The sequence below is a fragment of the Homo sapiens genome, chromosome 6 (assembly GCF_000001405.40).
Source record: "Homo sapiens chromosome 6, GRCh38.p14 Primary Assembly".
NCBI classification, from domain to species: domain Eukaryota; kingdom Metazoa; phylum Chordata; class Mammalia; order Primates; family Hominidae; genus Homo; species Homo sapiens.
The window spans coordinates 74,321,930-74,346,938 of record NC_000006.12 but is presented as its reverse complement, the minus strand read 5'-3'; the positions used below and the strand labels follow the sequence as shown (position 1 = coordinate 74,346,938).

The window sequence follows — 25,009 nt, the reverse complement described above, 5'->3', positions numbered from 1 at the left end:
AACACCTGCGCTGTCGAAGTTCACTATTTTCCTTCTCATCTAGTTTACGTATTGCTGCTAGAACCCTTTCATCATGTCACTTGAGGACTCTAAAATCTCCGGCAACTTTCCACGGCCTATAACACCAAGTTCAAACACCATAGGTTGTCATCATATTGCATCATTCTCCCTCTGCCAAGGTATCCCCACATTTGCTCCACAGGAGTCTTCTCCTTCATCTAGGCCCAGTACTCATTGACCCTTGAGTGCCCCTGCTCTTTTTCAGCCTTCCTTTCTGTTGTTTCCTATACCCCTTCATTAATTACATGGACCCATCAAGATCCATTTAAGACTACACGTATTTACCATTTCACTGAACTATTGTACCTTCCTTCTTTCTATGACCAATGATGGCATTTCTTCATATACTACATTGCATTGTTACTCAATTGGTTCATAGCCATATATCAGCAGCCTCTGTTAAACTATATTCTCAGATGATGTAAAAGTTCTGATTTTTATCTTTGCTGTACCCATTATACCTATTGATGCTGAACATAATAATATATGCATAACTAAATCTCAAGTATTTTTTAAAGTATATATGTAAGCAAAGTTAAATATGTATAAGTATAGTATAAGAGAGGCTTATAGGTCTGAAATTTCCCTTCTTCCTCTTTCTTAGAAAGGTTTATTTTGGTATATTTCTCAAAGAAGGGTTATAAGTTACCCTATGTGTGATCAATATAAGTGAGAACCAGGATGTGCCTTTGAGTGCATGCCCAAGGCACATGCTAGTTCTCCACCAATAAAGAAAAGAAATAGTACAGGGTTGGTTTCTTAACTCTTCTTGGACAAACTGTGACAAGTATGAAAAATTCATACTCTCTGTAGTCATTCCCTTTGCAGAGGATAGGGACATGGAGGGTAGGAGCAAAGGTAAAATATTATAATCATCATGCTAGATAACTTTCTCCTGGATCTGTTTCCTGCTAGATAAGACCAAAATGAAATTTAGTTTGACCACTCACAAACGAGAGCTCCTCAGGTAGTTTATTTAATGTAGCCCTGTGAACTGAAGTTTGGGGAGCTATTGCAGGAGTAGCTCTTCTCAGGAGACTCTTCAGAGATTCCAGGTACCACTCTGATATAATTCTATTATATTGGCTCTGCAATTCCAGCTGAAGTTAGCATGGAATTTTGCCAATGACAGCAAGCTGCAGTGGTCCTTTTCTTAACACTGGGAACCCTTACTTGGAAAATAGGATGCTGGCAAGAGTTGAGGGTCTTGAGGTGCATGTTGTTGCAGAAGGTTTTCTGCCATCCTTGCTGTGGCAACTGTGAAGGAGGGTGGCACATAAATGAGTCACCTACCAGGTAAATTGCCAGACAAAATACAGGGCACCCAGTAGAATTTGAATTTCAGATAAACCTCAAATCATTTTAACATAATTTGTAGAGCATTTCTCTTGCAATACTTGTGACATTTAATATATTTATAATCATCTGAAATTCAAACTGAGCAACAGTTTATTAAATCTGGCAATCATGTAGACAGACAGTTAAGATGCTTTTATCATGGCAGAAATAAATAACATTTCCCATAGAATTGTTAGATCCCGTATCCAAAACACATCTTTTATGAGCCTATCAACTATTACAGTAGACACTTTCCTTTTAGAAATCAAATAATGTGACATTTGTCTAAAGTATGAACTATACTGGAAGAAGAAAATGCCATTGCTAAAACTTAAAATTCTCTATTTTTGCCATCCCATCTCTCAAGTAGAAATACTTAGTATCTTGATTTAGAGGAAACTCAGTAATGATAAAATAACTGCTATCAAACTCAGCATCAATATGTAGGGGATTGTGACAAGGAGGGTACATCTCATTTTTAAGCAGGTATATGACAATTGTTATTGAAAACCATTTCTAAAAAACCTTCCAGGTTCCAACTAAGTCAGTCAGTCTTATAATGGGCTCCTTCCGTCCTCTCTGACAGTCTTTAGTAACTTGACTGAATTTACCAATCTCAGGATACAGGCTGTGTATCACATACTAGCATCAACAGGTCCAGGAAGCCCTGCCCTGAAGACTCAAATGTATATTTTTGAGTGGATCTTTCTCATTTGCTGTTGTTCTTTCTAAATAACAAAAATCTGTTCCTGACTTCTCAGCATGGTTGTTTATCATCAGTGAATAAAACCCCAAAGAAAACAAAAGACATCACCCAATTTGGATTCTGCTCCGTAAAAATTAATATCTTTGGTGAATACAAGACTGTGAAACTGGCTGTTTTTCCATGACTGTGTCAGGGTAACATCTGGTAAGGCATATTATGTCCTGATCCACATAAAAAGATCTGAGAAGAGCAGCAAGGATGGGGTGACAGTTTAGCCAACGATTTGGAAAGAGCCATGTGCATAGACAAGAAGTATGTGGCCAGCGGAGCTGGACCTATTTTGTTTTACTTGGAAGATTCACACTACCAATCCCATGGTTTTGGATAAAATGTTAAAATGTTTGCCTAAGAATTTTTGACTGGCAAGTTGATGACTGATTTATAAATGAAATCAGGTCAAGAAGACACTTGATTGCTAAGTATGTGCTAGTTGCTGTGCTTATTAAAAGTTAGAGAGACACTCAAAATGAGAGCCGGTTGGAAAGATTAACTACAAATTACAACTTTGTAGAACTTACATCCTGGGGAGCTCAGATTAAACTAGGATTGGCCTTATTTATATAGCCTAAATTTTTCCCAAATTAAACATATTATTTAATCACATATTTTACTTTGAAAGCATCTTAGAATAGTTTAAGGGTATTTTTTTCTATAAATGCTATTCCACTGACTAGAATTCTTTTCCAGAACCGACCCTATTTCTGAAATAAAAGTGGCTTTCCTCAGCATTTAGAATTTCTTTCCAAAGTTCAAAAGGCAGGTGCCACCTGGTGGAAATTTACTAGAATTCATTTTGATTCCTGCTGGGCCATGTAAAAGCTGTACACTTTTCTCTTTTAAAAATGCTTGTGAGAGGGGTGGTTTCAAGACGGCCAAATAGGAAAAGCTCCAATCTACAGCTCCCAGCGTGAGCAACACAGAAGACAGCTGATTTCTGCATTTCCAACTGAGGTACTGGATTCATCTCACTGGGGATTGTCGGAGAGTAGGTGCAGGGCACCGAGCATGAGCTGAAGCAGGGCGAGGCATTGCCTCACCAGGGAAGTGCAAGGGGTCAGGGAATTCCCATTCCTAGCCAAGAAAAGTGGTGACAGACTGCACCTGGAAAATCGGGTCACTCCCACCCTAATACTGTGCTTTTCTGATGGTCTTAGCAAATGGCACACCAGGAGATTATATCCCACGCGTGGCTCAGAGGGTCCTAGGCCCACGGAGCCTCACTCATTGCAAGCACAGCAGTCTGAGATCAAACTGCAAGGCAGCAGCAAGGCTGGGGGAGGGGCACCTGCCATTTCTGAGGGTTGAGCAGGTAAACAAAGCAGCCAGGAAGCTCAAACTTGGTGGAGCCCACCACAGTTCAAGGAGGCCTGCCTGCCTCTGTAGACTCCACCTCTGGGGGCAGGGCATAGCCGAACAAAAGGCAGCAGAAACGTCAGAAGACTTAAATGTCCCTGTCTGACATCTTGGAAGACAGTAGTGGTACTCCCAGCACACAGCTGGAGATCTGAGAACGGACAGACTGCCTCCTCAAGTGGGTCCCTGACCCCCGAGTAGCCTAACTGGGAGGCACCCCCAAGTAGGGGCAGACAGACACCTCACACAGCTGGGTACCCCTCTAAGACAAAACTTCCAGAGGAACGATCAGGCAGTAACATTTGCTATTCACCAATATTCACTGTTTTGCAGCTCCACTGCTGATACCCAGGCAAAGAGGGTCTGGAGTGGACCTCTGGCAAACTCCAACAGACCTGCAGCTGAGGGTCCTGACTGTTAGAAGGAAAACTAACAAACAGAAAGGACAACCATGCCAAAACCCCATCTGTACGTCACCATCATCAAAGACCAAAGGTAGATAAAACCACAAAGATGGGGAAAAAGCAGAGCAGAAAAACCGAAAATTCTAAAAATCAGAGAGCCTCTCTTCCTCCAAAGGAATGCAGCTGCATTCACCAGCAATGGAACAAAGCTGGATGGAGAATGACTTTAACAAGTTGAGAGAAGAAGGCTTCAGATGATCAAATTTCTCTGAGCTAAAGGATGAAGTTCGAACCTATGGCAAAGAAGTTAAAAACCTTGAAAAAAAGATTAGATGAATGGCTAACTAGAAGAACCAATGCAGAGAAGTCCTTAAAGGACCTGATGGAGCTGAAAACCAAGGCATGAGAACTACATAACGAATGCACAAGCTTCAGTAGCCAATTCAATCAACTGGAAGAGAGGGTATCAGTGATGGAAGATCAAATGAATGAAATGAAGCGAGAAGAGAAGTTTAGAGAAAAAAGAATAAAAAGAAATGAACAAAGCCTCCAAGAAATATGGGACTATGTGAAAAGACCAAATCTACGTCTGATTGGTGTACCTGAAAGTGACGGGGAGAATGGAACCAAGTTGGAAAACACTCTGCAGGATATTACCCAGGAGAAACTTCCCCAATCTAGCAAGGCAGGCCAATATCCAAATTCAGGAAATAAAGAGAACGCCACAAAGATACTCCTCGAGAAGAGCAACCCCAAGACACATAATTGTCAGATTCACCAAAGTTGAAATGAAGGAAAAAATGTTAAGGGCAGCCAGAGAGAAAGGTCAGGTTACCCACAAAGGGAAGCCCATCAGACTAACAGTGGATCTCTTGGCAGAAACTCTACAAGCCAGAAGAGAGTGGGGGCCAATATTCAACATTCTTCAAGAAAAGAATTTTCAACCCAGAATTTCATATCCAGTCAAACTAAACTTCATAACTGAAGGAGAAATAAAATACTTTACAGACAAGCAAATGCTGAGAGATTTTGTCACCACCAGGCCTGCCCTACAAGAGTTCCTGAAGGAAGCACTAAACATGGAAAGAAACAACCAGTACCAGCCACTGCAAAAACATGCCAAATTGTAAAGACCATCGAGGCTAGAAGGAACCTGCATCACCTAACGAGCAAACTAACCAGCTGACATCATAATGACAGGATCAAATTCACACATAACAATATAAACTTTAAATGTAAATGGGCTAAATGCTCCAATTAAAAGACACAAACTGGCAAGATGGATAAAGAGTCAAGACCCATCAGTATGCTGTATTCAGGAAACCCATTTCACATACAGACACACACATAGGATCAAAATAAAGAGATGGAGGAAGATCTACCAAGCAAATAGAAAACAAAAAAAGGGAGGGGTTGCAATCCTAGTCTCAGATAAAACAGGCTTTAAACCAACAAAGATCAAAAGAGACAAAGAAGGCCATTACATAATGGTAAAGGGATCAATTCAACAAGAAGAGCTAACTATCCTAAATGTATATGCACCCAATACAGGAGCACCCAGATTCATAAAACAAGCCCTTAGAGACCTAGAAAGAGACTTAGACTCCCACACAATAATAATGGGAGACTTTAACACCCCACTGTCAACATTAGACAGATCAACGAGACAGAAAGTTAACAAGGATATCCAGGAATTGAACTCAGCTCTGCACCAAGCTGACCTAATAGACATCTACAGAACTCCCCACACCAAATCAACAGAATATACATTCTCCTCAGCACCACACCACACTTATTCCAAAATTGACCACATAGTTGTAAGTAAAGCACTCCTCAGTAAATGTAAAAGAACAGAAATTATAACAAACTGTCTCTCAGACCACAGTGCAATCAAACTAGAACTCAGGATTAAGAAACTCACTCAAAACCACTCAACGACATGGAAACTGAACAAACTGCTCCTGAATGACTACTGGGTACATAACGAAATGAAGGCAGAAATAAAGATGTTCTTTGAAACCAATGAGAACAAAGACACAACATACCAGAATCTCTGGGGCACATTTAAAGCAGTGTGTAGAGGGAAATTTATAGCACTAAATGCCCACAAGAGAAAGCAGGAAAGAGATAAAATTGACACCTTAACATCACAATTAAAAGAACTAGAGAAGCAAGAGCAAACACTTTCAAAAGCTAGCAGAAGGCAAGAATTAACTAAGGTCAGAGCAGAACTGAAGGAGATAGAGACACAAAAATCCCTTCAAAAAATCAATGAATCCAGGAGCTGGTTTTTTGAAAAGATCAACAAAATTGATAGACTCCTAGCAAGACTCATAAAGAAGAAAAGAAAGAAGAATCAAATAGACGCAATAAAAAATGATAAAGGGGATATCACCACCAATCCCACGGAAATACAAACTACCATCAGAGTATACTATAAACACCTCTACGCAAATAAACTAGAAAATCTAGAAGAAATGGATAAATTCCTCAACATATACATGCTTTCAAGACTCAACCAGGAAGAAGTTGAATCTCTGAATAGACCAATAACAGGATCTGAAATTGAGGCAATAATTAATAGCTTACCAACCAAAAAAAGTCCAGGACCAGATGGATTCACAGCTGAATTCTACCAGAGGTACAAGGAGGAGCTGTTACCATTCCTTCTGAAACTATTCCAATCAATAGAAAAAGAGGGAATCCTCCCTAACTCATTTTATGAGGCCAGCATCATCCTGATAACAAAACCTGGCAGAGACACAACAAAAAAAGAACTTTAGACCAATATCCCTGATGAACGTCAATGCAAAAATCCTCAATAAAATACTGGCAAACAGAATCCAGCATCACATCAAAAAGCTTATCCACCATGATCAAGTGGGCTTCATCCCTGGGATGCAAGGCTGGTTCAGTATACACAAATCAATAAATGTAATCCAGCATATAAACAGAACCAAAGACAAAAACCACATGATTATCTCAATAGATGCAGAAAAGGCCTTGGACAAATTCAACAGCCCTTCATGCTAAAAACTCTCAATAAATTAGGTATTGATGGGATGTATCTCAAAATAATAAGAGTTGTTTATGACAAACCCACAGCCAATATCATACTGAATGGGCAAAAACTGGAAGCATTCCCTTTGAAAACTGGCACAAGACAGGGATGCCCTCTCTCACCACTCCTATTCAACACAGTGTTGGAACTTCTGGCCAGGGCAATCAGGCAGGAGAAGGAAAAAAAAGGCATTCAATTATGAAAAGAGGAAGTCAAATTGTCCCTGTTTGCAGATGACATGATTGTATATCTAGAAAACCCCATCATCTCAGCCCAAAATCTCCTTAAGCTGATAAGCAACTTCAGCAAAGTCTCAGGATACAAAATCAATGTGCAAAAATCACAAACATTCTTATACACCAATAACAGACAAACAGAGAGCCAAATCATGAGTGAACTCCTATTCACAACTGCTTCAGAGAATAAAATACCCAGGAATCCAACTTACAAGGGATGTGAAAGACCTCTTCAAGAAGAGCTACAAATAAAACTACACTGAGTTTTATTTTCATTGAGAACTACACTGCTCAATGAAATAAAAGAGGATACAAACAAATGGAAGAACATTCCATGCTCATGGGTAGGAAGAATCAATATCATGAAAATGGCCATACTGCCCAAGGTAATTTATAGATTCAATGCCATCCCCATCAAGCTACCAGTGACTTTCTTCACAGAACTGGAAAAAACTACTTTCAAGTTCATATGGAACCAAAAAAGAGCCCACATTGCCAAGTCAATCCTAAGCCAAAAGAACAAAGCTGGAGGCAACATGCTACCTGACTTCAAACTATACTACAAGGCTACAGTAACCAAAACAGCATGGTACTGGTACCAAAACAGACATATAGACCAATGGAACAGAACAGAGCCCTCAGAAATAATGTCACACATCTACAACTATCTGATCTTTGACAAACCTGACAAAAATAAGAAACGGGGAAAGGATTCCTTATTTAATAAATGGTGCTGGGAAAACTGGATAGCCATATGTAGAAAGCTGAAACTGGATCTGTTCCTTACACCTTACACAAAAATTAATTCAAGATGGATTAAAGACTTACATATTAGACCTAAAACCATAAAAACCCTAGAAGAAAACCTAGGCAATACCATTCAGGACATAGGCATGGGCAAGGACTTCATGTCTAAAACACCAAAAGCAATGGCAACAAAAGCCAAAATGGACAAATGTGATCTAATTAAACTAAAGAGCTTCTGCACAGCAAAAGAAACTACCATCAGAGTGAACAGGCAACCTACACTACACAATGGAAGAAAACTTTTGCAATCTACTTATCTGACAAAGGGCTAATATCCAGAATCTACAAAGAACTGAAACAGATTTACAAGAAAAAAACAAACAACCCCATCAACAAGTGGGCGAAGGATATGAACAGAAGCTTCTCAAAAGGAGACATTTATGCAGCCAACAGACACATGAAAAAATGCTCATCATCACTGGTCTTCAGAGAAATGCAAATCAAAACCACAATGAGATACCATCTCACACCAGTTAGAATGGCGATCATTAAAAAGTCAGGAAACAACAGGTGCTGGAGAGGATGTGGAGAAATAGGAACACTTTTACACTGTTGGTGGGACTGTAAACTAGTTCAACCATTGTGGAAGTCAGTGTGGCGATTCCTCAGGGATCTAGAACTAGAAATACCATTTGACCCAGCCATCCCATTACTGGGTATATACCCAAAGGATTATAAATCATACTGCTATAAAGACACATGCACACGTATATTTATTGTGGCACTATTCACAATAGCAAAGACTTGGAACCAACCCAAAAGTCCAACAATGATAGACTGGATTAAGAAAATGTGGCACATATACACCATGGAATACTATGCAGCCATAAAAAATGATGAGTTCTTATCCTTTGTAGGGACATGGATGAAGCTGGAAACCATCATTCTCAGCAAACTATTGCAAGGACGAAAAACCAAACACCGCATGTTCTCCATCATAGTTGGGAATTGAACAATGAGAACACTTGGACACAGGAAGGAGAACATCACACACCGGGACCTGTTGTGGGGTGGGGGGCTGGGGGAGGGATAGCATTAAGAGATATACCTAATATAAATGATGAGTTAATGGGTGCAGCACACCAACATGGCACATGTATACATATGTAACAAACGTGCACGTTGTGCACATGTACCCTAAAACTTAAAGTATAATAAAAAATATAAAAATATAAAAAATAAAAAAATGCATGTATGGAGGCTGAAGCAGGAGAATCTCTTGAACCCAGGCGGCAGAGCTTGCAGCAAGCTGAGATCACCCCACTGCACTCCAGCCTGAGTGACAAAGAGAGATTCCGTCTAAAAAAAAAAAAAAAGAAACAAAAACAAAAAAACACATTTATTTCTTGTCAGTGAACAGAAATTATTCCTGTCACTTCAGAAAAAAAAGTTTATTTTAGTAAATTTTGTAGTTAATTTTCAATGAGATCTGTCATTGAAAAACATAAAGATTTGGAAGGCAGGAAGACAAAGCTGAGAGAACAGTCATGTCATGTCATGTCATAGGGCTCCCTAAGTCAGCAATCATATAGGGAAACTGGTGAGAGGAGTTTACAAGGCTCCATTTGATTACCCTAGGTAATTGCCCATAGCAAGTCTCGCTTCTGCCAGGATTTATGCAGCAGTACAAAATTATATCCTATTTCCTTCCTAAGAAATAGAAAACTAAGAGAAAGTAAAACAAACTTTTAATTAATTATTGCTTAACTTTTAATATTTTTCAAATTACAAATCATACTTAATCATTTAATTAAAGAAGGAACAATTAGTCTGAGTAGCTTCCATTTATGTGTGTCATGTTTAAGTTATTCTCCAAGAGAACATTAGTTAAATAATTAGTGCTGTGGTGCTAAGCAAAGCATTTCAGAAAGAACTATTTACTTCTTGTTAATTCAAAGAATGAAAGAAAAGAGAAAGAAAGAGAGAAAACTATAGCCTGAGAGAAAAAGAGAGAGAGAAGGCATGTGAGAAAATGAACACAAGAGAGAAAATGTGAGGGAACAATGGAAGAAAAAAGGAAAGGAGGGGGGAGGGAGGAATAAACGAGAAGAGGTTGATAATAATTAGGTCATTGCAGTGGTTATTTAAGGACTGTATAACCAATATTCACATCTCTGAGAAATAAAACTGAGGAACTTCTTTCTGAGGACTGTCACTTCCCTACTTGTTAGGTTTTAACAACTTGAGAGACAAATCTTTAGCAAGTTTGAGGTTTTGACTTTAGTGTAAAGAGAATGTCTGAATTCTTGGGGAAAGTGTGTAGTGTCATAACTAATGTCCAAATGTAAGTAGTACTTCTAAAGTAAACAGGTCTAGAGGAAGTTTTCAGAGACTTCGAAGGTTCTATAAATATTCATTTTACCTACCCCTGAACACTGGCTTGAAAGATTGTTTTCTTTTTAACTAGCAAAAGTTAATGAGCCATTTCTGAACTTGCTGTATGGAAGCTAAGGCCAGGAATTTAACTTTATGTCACTGAGCTAATACCTTTTAAAAAGAATTATTATTTTAATAAAATCAGTAACATCCTTTTCATTGCCTCCCTATTACCTTTATAGAGTAGGTCTCAGTTCATAGTTGTTAGCACACAAGAAGCATCTCAAAGAGTTTTCTTCATAGTTCCCAAGTATGAACTGAGAACTCAAGCCCACAAGCTGCTCAGTTGTTAGCAGCTTCTTCTGTGTGAACTATGAGTTGAGAAATCTGAAAAAAATCTTTCAAGCCAGTATTCAGGGGTAGGTAAAAAGAGTGTTTACAGAACCTTCAAGGTCTCTGAAAACTGCTTCTAAATCTGTTTACTTAAGAAGTATTTATATTTGGACATTAGTTATCGCCTTACACACTTTCCCCAAGAATTCAGATACTCTCTTTACACAAGTCAAAACCTTGAACTTGCTGAAGATTGTCACCCAAGTTGTCAAAACTTAACAAGTGGGCAAGTGGCAATCGTCTCAAGAAGGAAGCCCATACCACGGGAAATTACGAGGTTCAGTGCAAAGGATCCATTCCAGTCTTGTGTTACTTTCAACTAAAGTACCCTCACAGACATACAAAAAGTCTACATCTGGAGCAAAGTTTATCAACTCTGCCCACCATCAACATTTGACAAATGTAGTCATTTTAGCCTTAACCATAACCTTGCATATTATAGTAATCTGCTAAGGCATGTGTTATGTGCTTGTGCTTAGATTTGAGGAGGTTTAAGAACAGTAAAAATTAAGAAAATGTGGCACATATACCCCATGGAATACTATGCAGCCATAAAAAATGATGAGTTCATGTCCTTTGCAGGGACATGGATGAAGCTGGAAGCCATCATTCTCAGCAAACTATCGGAAGGACAAAAAAACCAAACACCGCATGTTCTCACTCATAGGTGGGAATTGAACAATGAGAACACATGGACACAGGAAGGAGAACATCACACACCGGGGCCTGTTGTGGGGTGAGGGGAGTGGGGAGGGATAGCATTAGGAGATATACCTAATGTTAAATGACGAGTTAATGGGTGCAGCACACCAACATGGCACATGTATACATATGTAACTAACCTGCACTTTGTGCAAATGTACCCTAAAATTTAAAGTATAATAAAAAAAAGAACAGTAAAAATTATCGTATAGTAGATTATTACCAATGCTTACTAATAGCCTGTTCTCTACTTCTAAGTATACAAAAATTGTGCTTCTCTATCTCTTTGAAGGTAACGGTGGTGATGGGCCTTGATTTCGCACCCCCCCAAAAAAAATGTAAGGGAAAATAATACACATCATTTGCAGAGGAAGCATTTGATTTCAAGTGCTTAACTCCTGCCCCCATTGCCCCAGGAGCTGAAAAACTATGAAGCAACACATCGAAATGGAGCCAGCATAGGATAGTGAGGAGTGGCTTTGTGGAACAGACACCCAACCTCCACAAGTGACCCACAGTGGACATGTAACAGGAGCACCTAAGTAAACTTTGGGTGTGTTAAGCTATTGAGATTTTGGCATTTTTTGTTACTTCAGCATAAATTATCCCAATACATTGTCTTTTCCAATAAAGTGAAAGAGAAATGAGAGGCTTAAAAATGCAAATAAAAAGAGACACATGACTATGCCGAAAATAAAAATTATGCACTTTTAAATAAATGATGAGAAAATGAGAAAAGATTGTACAGACATAGAGAATAAGCATTTCAACTGTAAGAATATTTCTAAATATAGAGAGTAATTTATACCACATGTGAAGAATTCTATTTACAGGTAAGTGATAATATTCAGCAAGAGATGGCTATTCACAAAAGGAGAAACATCCTGTTAACTTAGGAGATATGTAGAACTTTGAGAAATTAAAGTCTAATCAGGTGAAATAACATTGACAAAGTTTATATCACAAGCGTAACTTCTGTCTGGTAACATGGGTTCAGGAGGTATATGTAAGTACTGTTAGTCACAAATTGTATAATACTGACCACTTTTGTATAAACATTCCTAATAAAAAAGACATATTTAGGAAGAGAATATGCAAAGTTGTAAAACTTTGAAGAAATTAGTTACTAGCCTATTGCATACAAATGTATTCTGGACTTGAACCTAACTGAGTCACTTTGACCTTAAGAACAAATAGACCTAACAGTTTTTGAAAGCTAAAATATTTATATTTAAAAAGCATCTGTATGCAGATACACTATTTTAATTATTTATTTAGAAAGAAGAAATACTTATTCATTCTCTTTCATTCTTCTGCATTTTGTCTTCTTTCTTCATCTTCTTTTCATGCTTTGAAGTTCACTTCACCACCTCTTCTCTTCCATACTCAGACTTCATTTGCTAGTCTAACATAGGTCTTTGTTTTAAAAAATTTCAAGGCTAGATCCAGCAAAGGTAAGCAGATTAAGGTACTTTGTGGCAGGATACTTAAGAAAGAGCTACTCTTTCTGACAAGGTTACAATTAGACATAGCCACACAAGACATTACTTTTTAAAATAGAATTATAGACTTCAGGATGGGAGCTATGGCAGGGAAGTGGGGGAGTTTTACTAATAGTTCAACTTTGCCCTTAAGTAAAAATAATCACTGCAAAAATTTCCAATGAGTCTTCATTCCATTTGTAATTAAACTACATTGACCAAGGAGATGTCAATAATTTCTAATGTACACCATTGTGCTTTACACAGATCATTAGAAAATTTTTCTTTAAAAAATTGACACCCAAGGATATTTTATTCAGTGAAATTATCCTTCACAAATGAAGGAAGAAATAAAGTCTTTTATAGATAAGCAAATACCAAGGAAATTCATCACCACTTTACTGGTCCTACAAGAAATGCTCTAGGAAGCCCTAAAATTGAAAGTGAAAGAATCACAGTTACTATCATGAAAACAAAAAATGTATAAAATTCACTGGTAAAGCAAACATAGAAATAAGGAAGAAAAAAGACTCAAATGGTACCTCTATAGAAAACTACCAAACCATAAGAACAAACAGTAAGAAAAGAAAAGGAAAAGAAAGGATTAAGGAATATACAAAATAACCATAAAACTAACAGTATGATAGAAAGGAAACCTCACATACCAATAATTTTAATGTAAACAGATATATTATCCACTGAAAAGACAGAGACTGGCTCAATTAATTAACAAAACATAATCAATTACAGGCTGTCTACAAAAAAAAAAAAAAAAAAAAACACTTTACCTGTAAAAAGACATATTGACTGAAAGTAAAGGGATAAAAAAAAAGATATTCCCCAGCCAGGCATGGTGTCTCATGCCTGTAATCCTAGCACTTTGAGAGGCTTAGGAGGCCTGATTGCTTTAACCCAGAAGTTCAAGACCAGCCTGGGCAACATGGTGAAACCCCATCTCTACAAAAAAATACAAAAATTAATTGGGTGTGTTGGCATGCTCCTGTAGTCTCAGCTACTCAGGAGGCTGAGGTGGGAAGATCACCTGAGCCCTAGGAGGTGTAGGAAGCACTGAGCCATAATCTTGCCTCTGCCTCCAGCCTGGATGACAAAGGGAGACCCCCAACTCAAAAAAAGAAGAGAAAGACAAAAAGAAAAGACAAAGATTTTCCATGCAAACAGAAACCAAAAGTGAGCAGAAGTAGTTATATGTATATCAGATACAACAGACCTTAAGTCAAAAAGAGTTTTAAGAGACAAAGAAAATCATTACATAGTGTTAAAGTGATCAATTCAGCAAGAGGATGCAATAATAATTCTACGTATGTATGCACCTAACACTGGAGCACCTAGATGTATAAAGCAAAATTACTAGATCTAAAGAGAGAGACAGACCCCAATATAATAACAGTGGGCAATTTCAACACCCTCAACTCAGCATTTAAAAAATCATCTACATAAAAAAAATCAACAAAGAAACACTGGATTTAAGCTGGACTTTAGACCGATGGACTTAACAGACATTTTTAGCCAATATCTGCAGAATACACATTCTTCTCATTAGTGCATGGAATATTCTCCAGGATATTTTTTAGACCACAGAATAAGTCTCAATAAATTTTAGAAGACTGAAATCATGTCAAGTATCTTCTCAGACCACATTGGAATAAAACTAGGAGTCAATACCAAGAGGAACTTTGGAAATTATATAAATACATGGAAATTAAACAACATGCTTCTGAATGATCATTGGGTCTATGCAAAAAAATTAAGAGGAAAATTTAAAAATTTATTGAAATAATTAAAAATGAAATTAAACATATCCAAACCTGTGGGATACAACAAAGCTAACAGGAAAGTTTATAGCAATAAACACCTACATCAAAAAAGTAGAAAGATTTCAAATAAACAATCTAAGAATGTACCTCAAAAAAACTAGAAAAGCAAGAATAAACCACACTCAAAATTACTAAAGTGAAAAATATAATAAAGATCACAGCAGAACTAAATGAAATAGAGACAAAAAAAAAATACTAAGAATCAACCAAATGAAAAGTTGGTTTTCCAGTCTGGGAGCAGTAGCTCATGCCTGTAATCCCAGGACTTTGGGAGGCCAAGGCTGGTGGATCACCTGAGGGCCAGAGTTGGAGACCAGCCTGGCCAACATGATGAAACCCCATCTCCATTAAATATATATATATATATTAACCAGGTGTGGTGGTGGGTGCCTGTAATGCCAGCTACTCGGGAGGCTGTGGCAGGAGAATAGTTTGAACCTGGGAGGCAGAGGTTGCAGTGAGCTGAAATTGCACCACTGCACTCCAGCCTGAGTAACAAGAGTGAAACTCCATCTTAAAAAAAAAAAAAAAGAAAAAAAAAGAAAGAAAAAAGAAAAGTCAGTTCTCCAAAAGATAAACAAAATTGATAAACTGCTAGCAAGACTAACCAAGAAAAGAAGAAAGACAAAATATGCAAAAGCATACATGAAAAGGGAAATATTATAACTGATATTACAGAAATACAAAAGATAATGGGGACTATTATGAACAAGCATACACTAACAAACTAGAAAACCTAGAGGAAATGGATAATTCCTGGATATATACAACCTATGAAGACCATATATATGGACAAATACAACCTATGAAGACTGAAAGAATAGAAAACGTGAACAGATCAATAAAAAGTATCCCAATAACAACAATAAAAAAAGCCCAGGATTTAATCAATTCACTGTTGAATTCTACCAAATATGTAAAGAAGAACTAATAACAATCCTCCTCAAACTAGTCCAAAAAATTGAAGAGGAGGGAATTCTCCTGAATGCATTCTATGAAGCCAGCATCACTATGAGACCAAAACTCAACAAGAGCACAACCAAAAAAGAAAACTACAGGCCAATATCCCTGAGACGTAGATGGAAAAGTCCTCAACAAAGTACAGCAGACAAAATCTAACAGCATATCAGAAAGATAATATACCATAATTAAGTCGGATTTATCCCAGGGGTGCAAGAATAGTTCGACATATGCAAATCAATAAACTTCATACTTCACATTGACAAAAGGGAACACAAAAACCATATGATCATCTCAATAGGTACAGAAAAGCATTTGATAAAACTCAACATCCTTTCATGATAAAAAAGGAAGTGAATAATAAAGGCCATATATCAAAAACCCACAGATAACATCATACTGAATGGGAAAAAGTTGAAAGCCTTTTCGCTAAGAATTGGAACAAGACAAGGATGCCCACTTTAATCAGTCCTGTTCAACATAGTACTAGAAGTCCCAGCTACAGCAATTAAGCAAGATAATAAATACAGGACATACAAACTGGAAAAGTGGAAGTCCAATTGTCCCTCTGCTAATGGCATGTTCTTATATTTAGGAAAAAAATAGAAGACTCTGTCAGAAAACTCTTAGAACTGAAAAACACATTCAGTAAAGTTGGTGGATAAAAAAATCAACATACAATAATCAGTAGTACGCAGAAATAACAAAACGATGATAAAGAAATCACGAAGGTGATCCCATTGACAATAGCTACAAAAGATATATATATATATATATATATACATTTATATATATATATATATACATTTATATATATATATATATACACATATATATATATATATATATGAATTCCTAGGAATAAGTTTAACTAAGAAAGTGTAAGATGCCTACTAGGCATCTTCAAAACATTGATTAAAGAAATTGAAGAAGACAAAAACAAAAGCAAAGGCATCCCATGGCCATAGATCAGAAAAATTAATATCTTTAAAATGACCATACTGCTCCCAAGATCTATAGATTCAATGCAATCCCTGTCAAAATACCAATGCTATTTTTCACAGAAATGGAAAAAGCAATCCTAAAATTTGTATGGAACCAAAAAAGAGCCAGAATAGCCAAAGTAATCTTGAGCAAAAGAATAAAGCTAGAGGCATCACATCACCTGACTTCAAAACATATTATAAGGATATAGTAATATCAAAATAGATTGGTATAGGTATAAAAATAGATACATAGACCAATGGAACAGAACAGAGAACCCAGAAATAAAGCTACATATTTATAGTCAAACAATATTTGACAAAGCTGCTAAAAACATACATTGGAGAAAGGAAAACCTCTGCAATAAATGATGCTGGAAAAACTGGATAACCACATGCAGCAGAATGATACTACATCTTTATCTCTCACCTTATACAAAAGTAAACTCAAGGTAGATTAAAGACTTAAATGTAAAAGCCAAAACTTCACTAGAAGTAAAAATAGGGAAAACTCTTCAGGACATTTGTCTAGGCAAATATTTTATGGCTAAGACCTCAAAAGCACAGGCAACAAAAAGAAAAACAGACAAATGTGACTATGTTAAACTAAAAATCTGCACAGCAAGAGAAACAATAAACAGACAACCTCTTAAGTTGGAGAAAATATTTGCAATCTACTTACCTAACAAGAGACTAATATACAGAATATACAAGGAACTCAAACAACTCAACAGTAAAAAAATCAAATACTCCCATAAAAAGTGAGCAAGGAACATGAATTTTTCACTTTCAAAAGAAGACAAAGAAATGGCCAATAGGTATATGAAAAGAATGTTCAATGTCACTAATCATCAAGGTAATGCAAATCAAAACCACAATGAGACTATCATCTTACCCCAGTTAGAATGACTATTATTAAAATAAAGACAAAAGATAACAGGCACTGACAAGTATGTGGATAAATGGGAACTCATTCACTGTTGGTGGGAATGTAAATTTGTACAGTCACTATGGAAAACAGTATGGAGATTTTTTTAAAAAAACTAAACATAAAGCTACCATAAAGTCCAACAATCCCATTACAAGTATTAATCCAAAGGAAAAGAAATCAGTATATAAAGAGGATACATGCACTTGCATGTTTACCGTAGCACTATTCATGACAGCAAAGATATGCAATGAACCTAAGTGTTCATCAATGAATGAATGAATCAATGAAGGAAGAAAATGTGGTATACATAAACAATGGAATACTATTTGGCCATAAAAATAATGAAATCATGTCATGTTCAGCAAGATGGATAGAACTGAGGTTTGTAATGTTGAGGGAAATATGCCAGGCACAGAAAGACAAATACTGCATGTTCTCATCCGTATGTGGGAGCAAAAAGCTTGACCCCATGGACATAGAGAATAGAGTGATAGATACCAGAGACTGGGAAGGGTGGATGAGTGACAATGGGAATGAAGAGAAGTTGGTTAATGGGTACAAACATGCAGTTAGGTAGAATAAGCTCTCATGTTGTACAGCAGAATGGGACGCCTATATTTAGCAGCAGTACTTGGTATATTTTAAAGTAACTAGAAGAGAGAACTTGAAATGATACCAACATGTAGACATTATAAACACTCAAGGTGGTGGATACCCCAAATATACTGACTTGACCATTACACATTTGTGCATGTAACAAACATTGCCATGTACTGCATTAATAAGTAAAACAGTATGCATTAATAAAAGAGAGAAAAAAAGAAAATTCTATTTATATTCAGCCTGCATCTGCCTTGCTTTGGTTTTTATTGGTCAGTATTTCTTGTGTTGGCCAGAAGTACACAAAGCAAAGGAGGTAGCAAGCTACAGTGGTTAAATATTTGTCCTTTGGGGTCAAAATATCCAGGTGCAAATCCTGGCCCCACCATTTAGTATCTGTGTGTCTGCAGGAAAATTACCAAACTTCTTTATGCCTCAATTTCTCCATCTGGAAAATAGAAATGATCTGAGAATATAATCAATTATGTCTGCATCAAAATATTGATTTGCACTTAAATTGGGCAATAATCACATAATTAATGTTACCTGGATTATAACTTCCTCTTCCAAATTACAACCATTCAAATATGTGTTTCTTCTACAAGCTGAGTATCTCCATTTTCTTTATCATTTACTATCTATTCTTTAAAGCTTTAATTTTGTGTAAGGGACAACAGTTTTGATTATGGAGCAGAAAGATGTCCGGAAAGATTTCAGAGGATTTGAGTAAATCATCCAGAAATGGAACAGCAATGTGGCCCTTCTTTGGGCATAAATAAAGGCCTAGAAAATAATCATATTTCAGACATTAGAGAGTACTCCAATTTAATCACTTACAGGCAAAATCATGCAGAAATATTGCTCTTGAGCTCATATTTATCTACTTCAAACAGATAAATGCTGTATCTGGTATTCAGATTATGATCCTTTGATATAATTGCGTTTTACTGTTGTAGTATTCCGTCAGCATATAAAAACGTAGTGTTTTCTGCCTAAATGTTTTATCTTCAAAATGTTTTCTTCCAAAAGGAGTAAGAAGTATATCAAGAAACATTTTAGAGATTTCAAATAAAACTAATTTTTATTCATCGAAATATTGAAAGTTAATTTTTCACCAGCCTAATCCAAAACAGCATCAGCTTGAACTACTTCTGCACCACCCCATCCCACCAGTTACTTCAGCCATTATCTTCTATATCCTTGAGTTAATTCAATATAAGCAAAATTTCTTAAATATAAAATAGGGAGAAATGTATCTTAACATAAAGTTCATCAACTATCAGATAAAGAGAAATGTATCTTAGTGAAAGACCACTGATTCATACAAACTAAAAATTCATGTAAGCTAAATTATGAATTTATGGGTTAAATTCAAGGAATAGTAAGATAAAAAATGAAGGAAGGCCCAGTGCAGAGGCTCACACCTGTAATCCCAGCACTTTGGGAGGCCAAGGCAAGTGGATCACAAGGTCAAGAGATCGAGACCATCCTGGCCAACTAATATGGTGAAACCCTATCTCTACTAAAAATACAAAAATTAGCTGGGTGTGGTGGCATGCACTTGTAGTCCCAGCTACTCAGGAGGCTGAGGAAGGAGAATTGCTTGAACCCGGGAGGTGGAGGTTGCAGTGAGCCAAGTCATGCCACTGCACTCCACACTCCAGTCTGGTGACAGAGAGAGACTCCTCTCAAAAAAAAAAAAAAAAAAAAGGAAAGAAAAAAAGAAAAAGAAATGAAAGAAAATAATTTTACGGAAGCCAAGGGAAGAGTGTTTTAAAAAGGCGGACTGTTAATTAAATTTCTGCTAAGAGAGCAAATGATATTTCCCATACAACCTCAATGGGTAACAGGTATGGGGAAAAAAGAGTTATGGGATGTAGCTCCATACGATTTTCTATAATTGGAGTCATGGGTACTAGATTTCATCTCTCAAAAGAGAAATTCCATTTGGGACACATTTGAAATGTTTTATGGATAATAATACATAGGGTCAACTATCTCTAACATTAACTCCATGACAATGCATTATCCCTCTGATGTTCTCTCCTAGAATTTGGCTCTCGTCTTCCTGTTCATCAAATGGGATGCAGGCAGTCATTGATCTCCTGGGGACACAGTGGGTTGCATAAGTGTGACACTGCTGTGAAAAGAGGGACCTGGTTAAACATAAGTCTTAAATGCACCCTAGGACACACTTGTATTTCTTCTCTCATCTTGGCAGAACCATTTTTTCGTGTCTCCTACTTCTATCTAGCCCTTTCTCTGTGTTTCCATGCACCTGCTTACTGAAAAGGACTATAGAAAGTAACATGCTAACCTCTCTTTCCAACCAATGATAGATTTACTCACTTAGAATTGATTTATTAGAAAAGTAGTGAGCTGGTGCCAAGGAAAGTACTTGCTATTTTTCTTTTTATAAAGCAGCTTGGAAACTTTATACTTGAGGCTTATTGTGATCCAAAATTAATACCTTTCCAAAGTTTAGAATGCTCTTCATGATCTCTTTCTAAATAGTAATCATAAATGTATAAATTCAAATAATATTTCCCCATAAAACATATACTGATTAGTTATGTCTATTCTAACAAGATATTTGTATCTGTGGAAAACTTTTAAATGATTCAAAGAGGAAATTAAATTAAAAATGGAAAAAAACAGATTTTTTAAGATTTAGGAAGTATCATAAATGCATTTACTTGCAAAAAGTAAAACAAGTTTATGGTAGAAGAAATTAATTTTCTTTTTTTCTTTTTTGAGATGGAGCCTCGGCATGTTGCCCAGGCTGGAGTGCAGTGGCACGATCTCGGCTCACCACAACCTCTGCCTCCCGGGTTCAAGCAATTCTCCTGCCTCAACCTCCCAAGTAGCTGGGACTACAGGCGGGTGCCACCACACCTGGCTAATTTTTGTATTTTTAGTAAAGACAGGGTTTTACCATATTGGCCAGGCTGGTATCAAACTCCTGAGCTCAAGCAATCCACCTGTCTCAGCCTCCCAAAGTGCTGGGATTACAGGCGTGAGCCACCACGCCCAGCCAGAAATTAATTTTCTATATGAAAAATGTCTGCTTCATTTGATGCCTACTAAAAATAATGGGGACAATATTAAGAAAAGAGAAAGGAAATAATAGAAAGGAAGAGGAGGAAGATAGGAAGGGAAAGCAAGGGGAAAAGGAACATGAAGAAGAGACAATGGAATCATAAAATGTAGGAAACAGGGGAAAGGAGTTATAACAAAGATAATCAGTATTGCTTTAAAATAAGGTTAATTTGGGACATACTTATTATTTTTAACTAAAATTATTACCAAGAAACACAATTGTTCATGTGGGTACTAGTTGTAAGAATAAATTCATACTCAGACTTTAGTTCTTTTTGAATTGTTCTCTACTCAAACACTGTGACACTTCTTTCTGAAAAGAAGAAGTTTATTCAGAATAAACTTCTGAATATTTTATTCAGTAAACTATTTTTTTCCTTTTTCAATCTTTATTCTAGAATCAGGGGTACATGTGCAGGTTTGTTACAAAGGCATATTGATTACCTGATGCTGAGGTTTGAAGTATGGTTGAACCTGTCACCCAGTGAGCATAATACCCTATAGGTAGTTTTCCAGCCCTTGCTCCCCTTTCTCTCTTCCCCAACTAGTAGTCCCCAATGTATACTGCTGCTATCTTTATGTCCATGTACATCTAATGGTTAGCTCTTTCTTATAAGTGAGAACATGCAGTATTTTGTTTTCTATTTCTGTGTTAGTTCGCTAAGGATAATGGCCTCCAGCTGTATCCATGTTGCTGCAAAGACATGATTTTGTCCTTTTATGGCTGCATAGTATTCCCTGGTGTATATATGCCACATTTTTTGGACATTATTTGGCACCAATCCACCATTTATGTGCACCTGGATTGATTCCATGTCTTTCCTAATATAAATAAAGCTGTGGTGAGAATATGGGTGCATGTGTCTTTTTGGTAGAATAATTTATTTTCCTTTGAGTATACCCTCAGTAATGGGATTATTGGGTTAAATGGTAGTTCAACTGAGCTATTTGAGAAATCTCCAAACTGGTCTCTACAGTGGCTGAACTAATTTACATTCTCACCAACAATGTATAAGTGTCCCGTTTTCTCTGCAGCCTCACCAACATCTGTTGTTTTTTTGACTTTTTAACAAAAGCCATTCCAACTTGTGTGAAATGTTATCTTATTGTGGTTTTGATTTGCAGTTGTATTTCTCTAATGATTAGAGAGGATGAGCATTTTTTCATATGTTTGTGGGCCACTAGCATGTCTTCCTTTCAGAAGTGTCTGTTCACATCTTTTGTCCACTTTTTAATGCTTTTTGCTTGTTGATCTAAGTTCCTTTTAGATGCTGGACGTTAGACGTTCGTCAAATGCATAGTTTGTGAATATTTTCTCCCATTCTGTAGATTCTCTGTTTAGTCAACTTTGATAGTTTTTGTTGCTGTGCAGAAGCTCTTTAGTTTAATTAGGTCCCACTTGTGGATTTTTGTTTTTGTTGCAATTGCTTTTGAGGACTTAGCCACAAACATTTTGCCAGGAAGTGGTTTGCTTCTGTAATCCCAGCAACTTGAGAGGCTGAGGAGGGAGGATCACTTGAGGCCAGGAGTTCAAGATCAAACTCTTTTAAAAGTACTTACTATGTGCCAGAGGTATAGGCCTGATTAGAGCAACTTATAACTTGTGGGGAAAAAAAAATTTTGTGCTAAAATGGCTGAGATTATAACATTTTTATTATATTATAGAATCATTCTAAGAAAACCCCCATATTGTCCTTGATAAGTATAACCAAAGTTCAAGCATAAATCCAACATTCAAGAAAGGCTAATGCAAGAATAAAAAGACCCATAGTTTGGCCCATCTTAACTACAGCAAATCTTTAAGGTAATAAAAACGTAAGCAAATATGGGAAAAGTATAACCCTTTCTTGAGAGCCCTTGTTTTGCTTTGGTTGTTGTGTTACTTCCAACACTATGATTCTTTGCAGCAAACTGCTATACTCTCAGCTCTTCCCAGTGAAATTCCAGACATTCAGAATTATTGACTTACAAAATCAAAAGTTACTGCCTCTGTCCATAGATCTTTGCAGGCAGGCTTAGTTACTATTCACAGCTCTTTTGATGCTCTTAAATCTGAAAATAAATCTTTGAAGATTATAGGTCATCTCATTTCATAGGCTCACTTCATAAATGAAAAGATGCAGTCATCCAGAGTCTCAGAATTTGTCTAGTAAGAGTCAGACACTTGATTAAAGTAACCAAACCTATAAAGTTCTGAACGGTTATGTGTAGTATCCATGATGATAACAGCAGCCTAGGATAAACTATGGAATCTCTTGTTCTTTCAAAAGTAAACACTATTATAAAAAGAAGTGTCAGGCCGGGCGCGGTGGCTCACGCCTGTAATCCCAGCACTTTGGGAGGCCGAGGCGGGTGGATCATGAGGTCAGGAGATCGAGACCATCCTGGCTAACAAGGTGAAACCCCGTCTCTACTAAAAATAAAAAAAATTAGCCGGGCGCGGTGGCGGGCGCCTGTAGTCCCAGCTACTCGGGAGGCTGAGGCAGGAGAATGGCGTGAACCCGGGAAGCGGAGCTTGCAGTGAGCCGAGATTGCGCCACTGCAGTCCGCAGTCCGGCCTGGGAGACAGAGCGAGACTCCGTCTCAAAAAAAAAAAAAAAAAAAGAAGTGTCAGAATAATTATCCAGTGAAAGATTCTTCCAAGGCTGCCTAGGTATTTCTAAATGATCACCACTCTCTAAAAATGGCAGGTAAAAGATTCTTCATGAAGTAAGCCCTGGTGCTGATTTTATCATCATCACTATCATCATCAATTATTTGTGCTACTTGGCATCGACCATCAGTTAAATCAATATGCAAAATAAACCATTGTAGAGGTTCTGTCTGCGAATTTATTTAATGTCATACTTGCCAGACAACTACATATTCTAATAAATGCTGTTAATTTTAACCAGAGACATTGTATATTGTTATTTCTTTGCAACCTATAAGTATTACTAAAAACGCTGAAAGTAAAATTCCATATGCCATATGTTCAGTACACACATGCAAATACCATTACAAAGTATACACATATACATATTTTGGCTTGTGAACTAAGAGTGCTAAGATGTTAATCAAGATAATGAAAATGTAAATTCTGAGCTTAAAAGATCTTTTCCTTAGTTTTCCTCTTCTCACTCATCCTCCCAGATACTGAGTTTCCTACCCAATTCCCAAATCTATGTTGTTTGCATCCAACCGAAACTTAAAATCCTAAAGTGTAGGAAAGAGTGGAGCGATGGGGAGAGAACATGGTCAATGAACCTAATTGAGGACAGAAGCAGGAGCTCTGGCCCTAAATCAAAAGGCAAATTCACTATAGCGCCCTGCTGCCTTTTCTGCCAACTCCTGTCAAGCCAGAAGAGATTAAGAAGCTTCCAAAAACAATTTGGGGGCAGACTAAAAATGTAGCCAACCAGTAATTCACATGAGTGAGTTATTATAGCTACTCTGTGATCACAAATTCTACTTGTAAGACCAAATGATCAACTTGAAATACAGAGGGCTTATAAATCTATAGGAATTTTGCCACTATTTTCTTGCCCAGTGTTGAAATTCAAGTAAGTTTTATACATGATTTGGCCATAAAAATGAATATTAAACAGTACTGAATGTTCCATTCAAAATAGACATCAAAAACACATTGAATCTCATTAATTTGCAGGGAGTAAACAAGCCCATACCATTTTGAAACAATATATG

At 37.0% G+C, this 25,009-nt stretch overlaps 1 long non-coding RNA gene across 1 annotated transcript in view; it reads right to left on the bottom strand.

Annotated features, from left to right (window-relative positions):
* The window catches only part of LOC101928516 (uncharacterized), a 621,277-nt gene that overhangs the window by 343,789 nt on the left and 252,479 nt on the right, over positions 1 to 25,009 (bottom strand). The gene's annotated exons all lie outside the window — the stretch shown is intronic.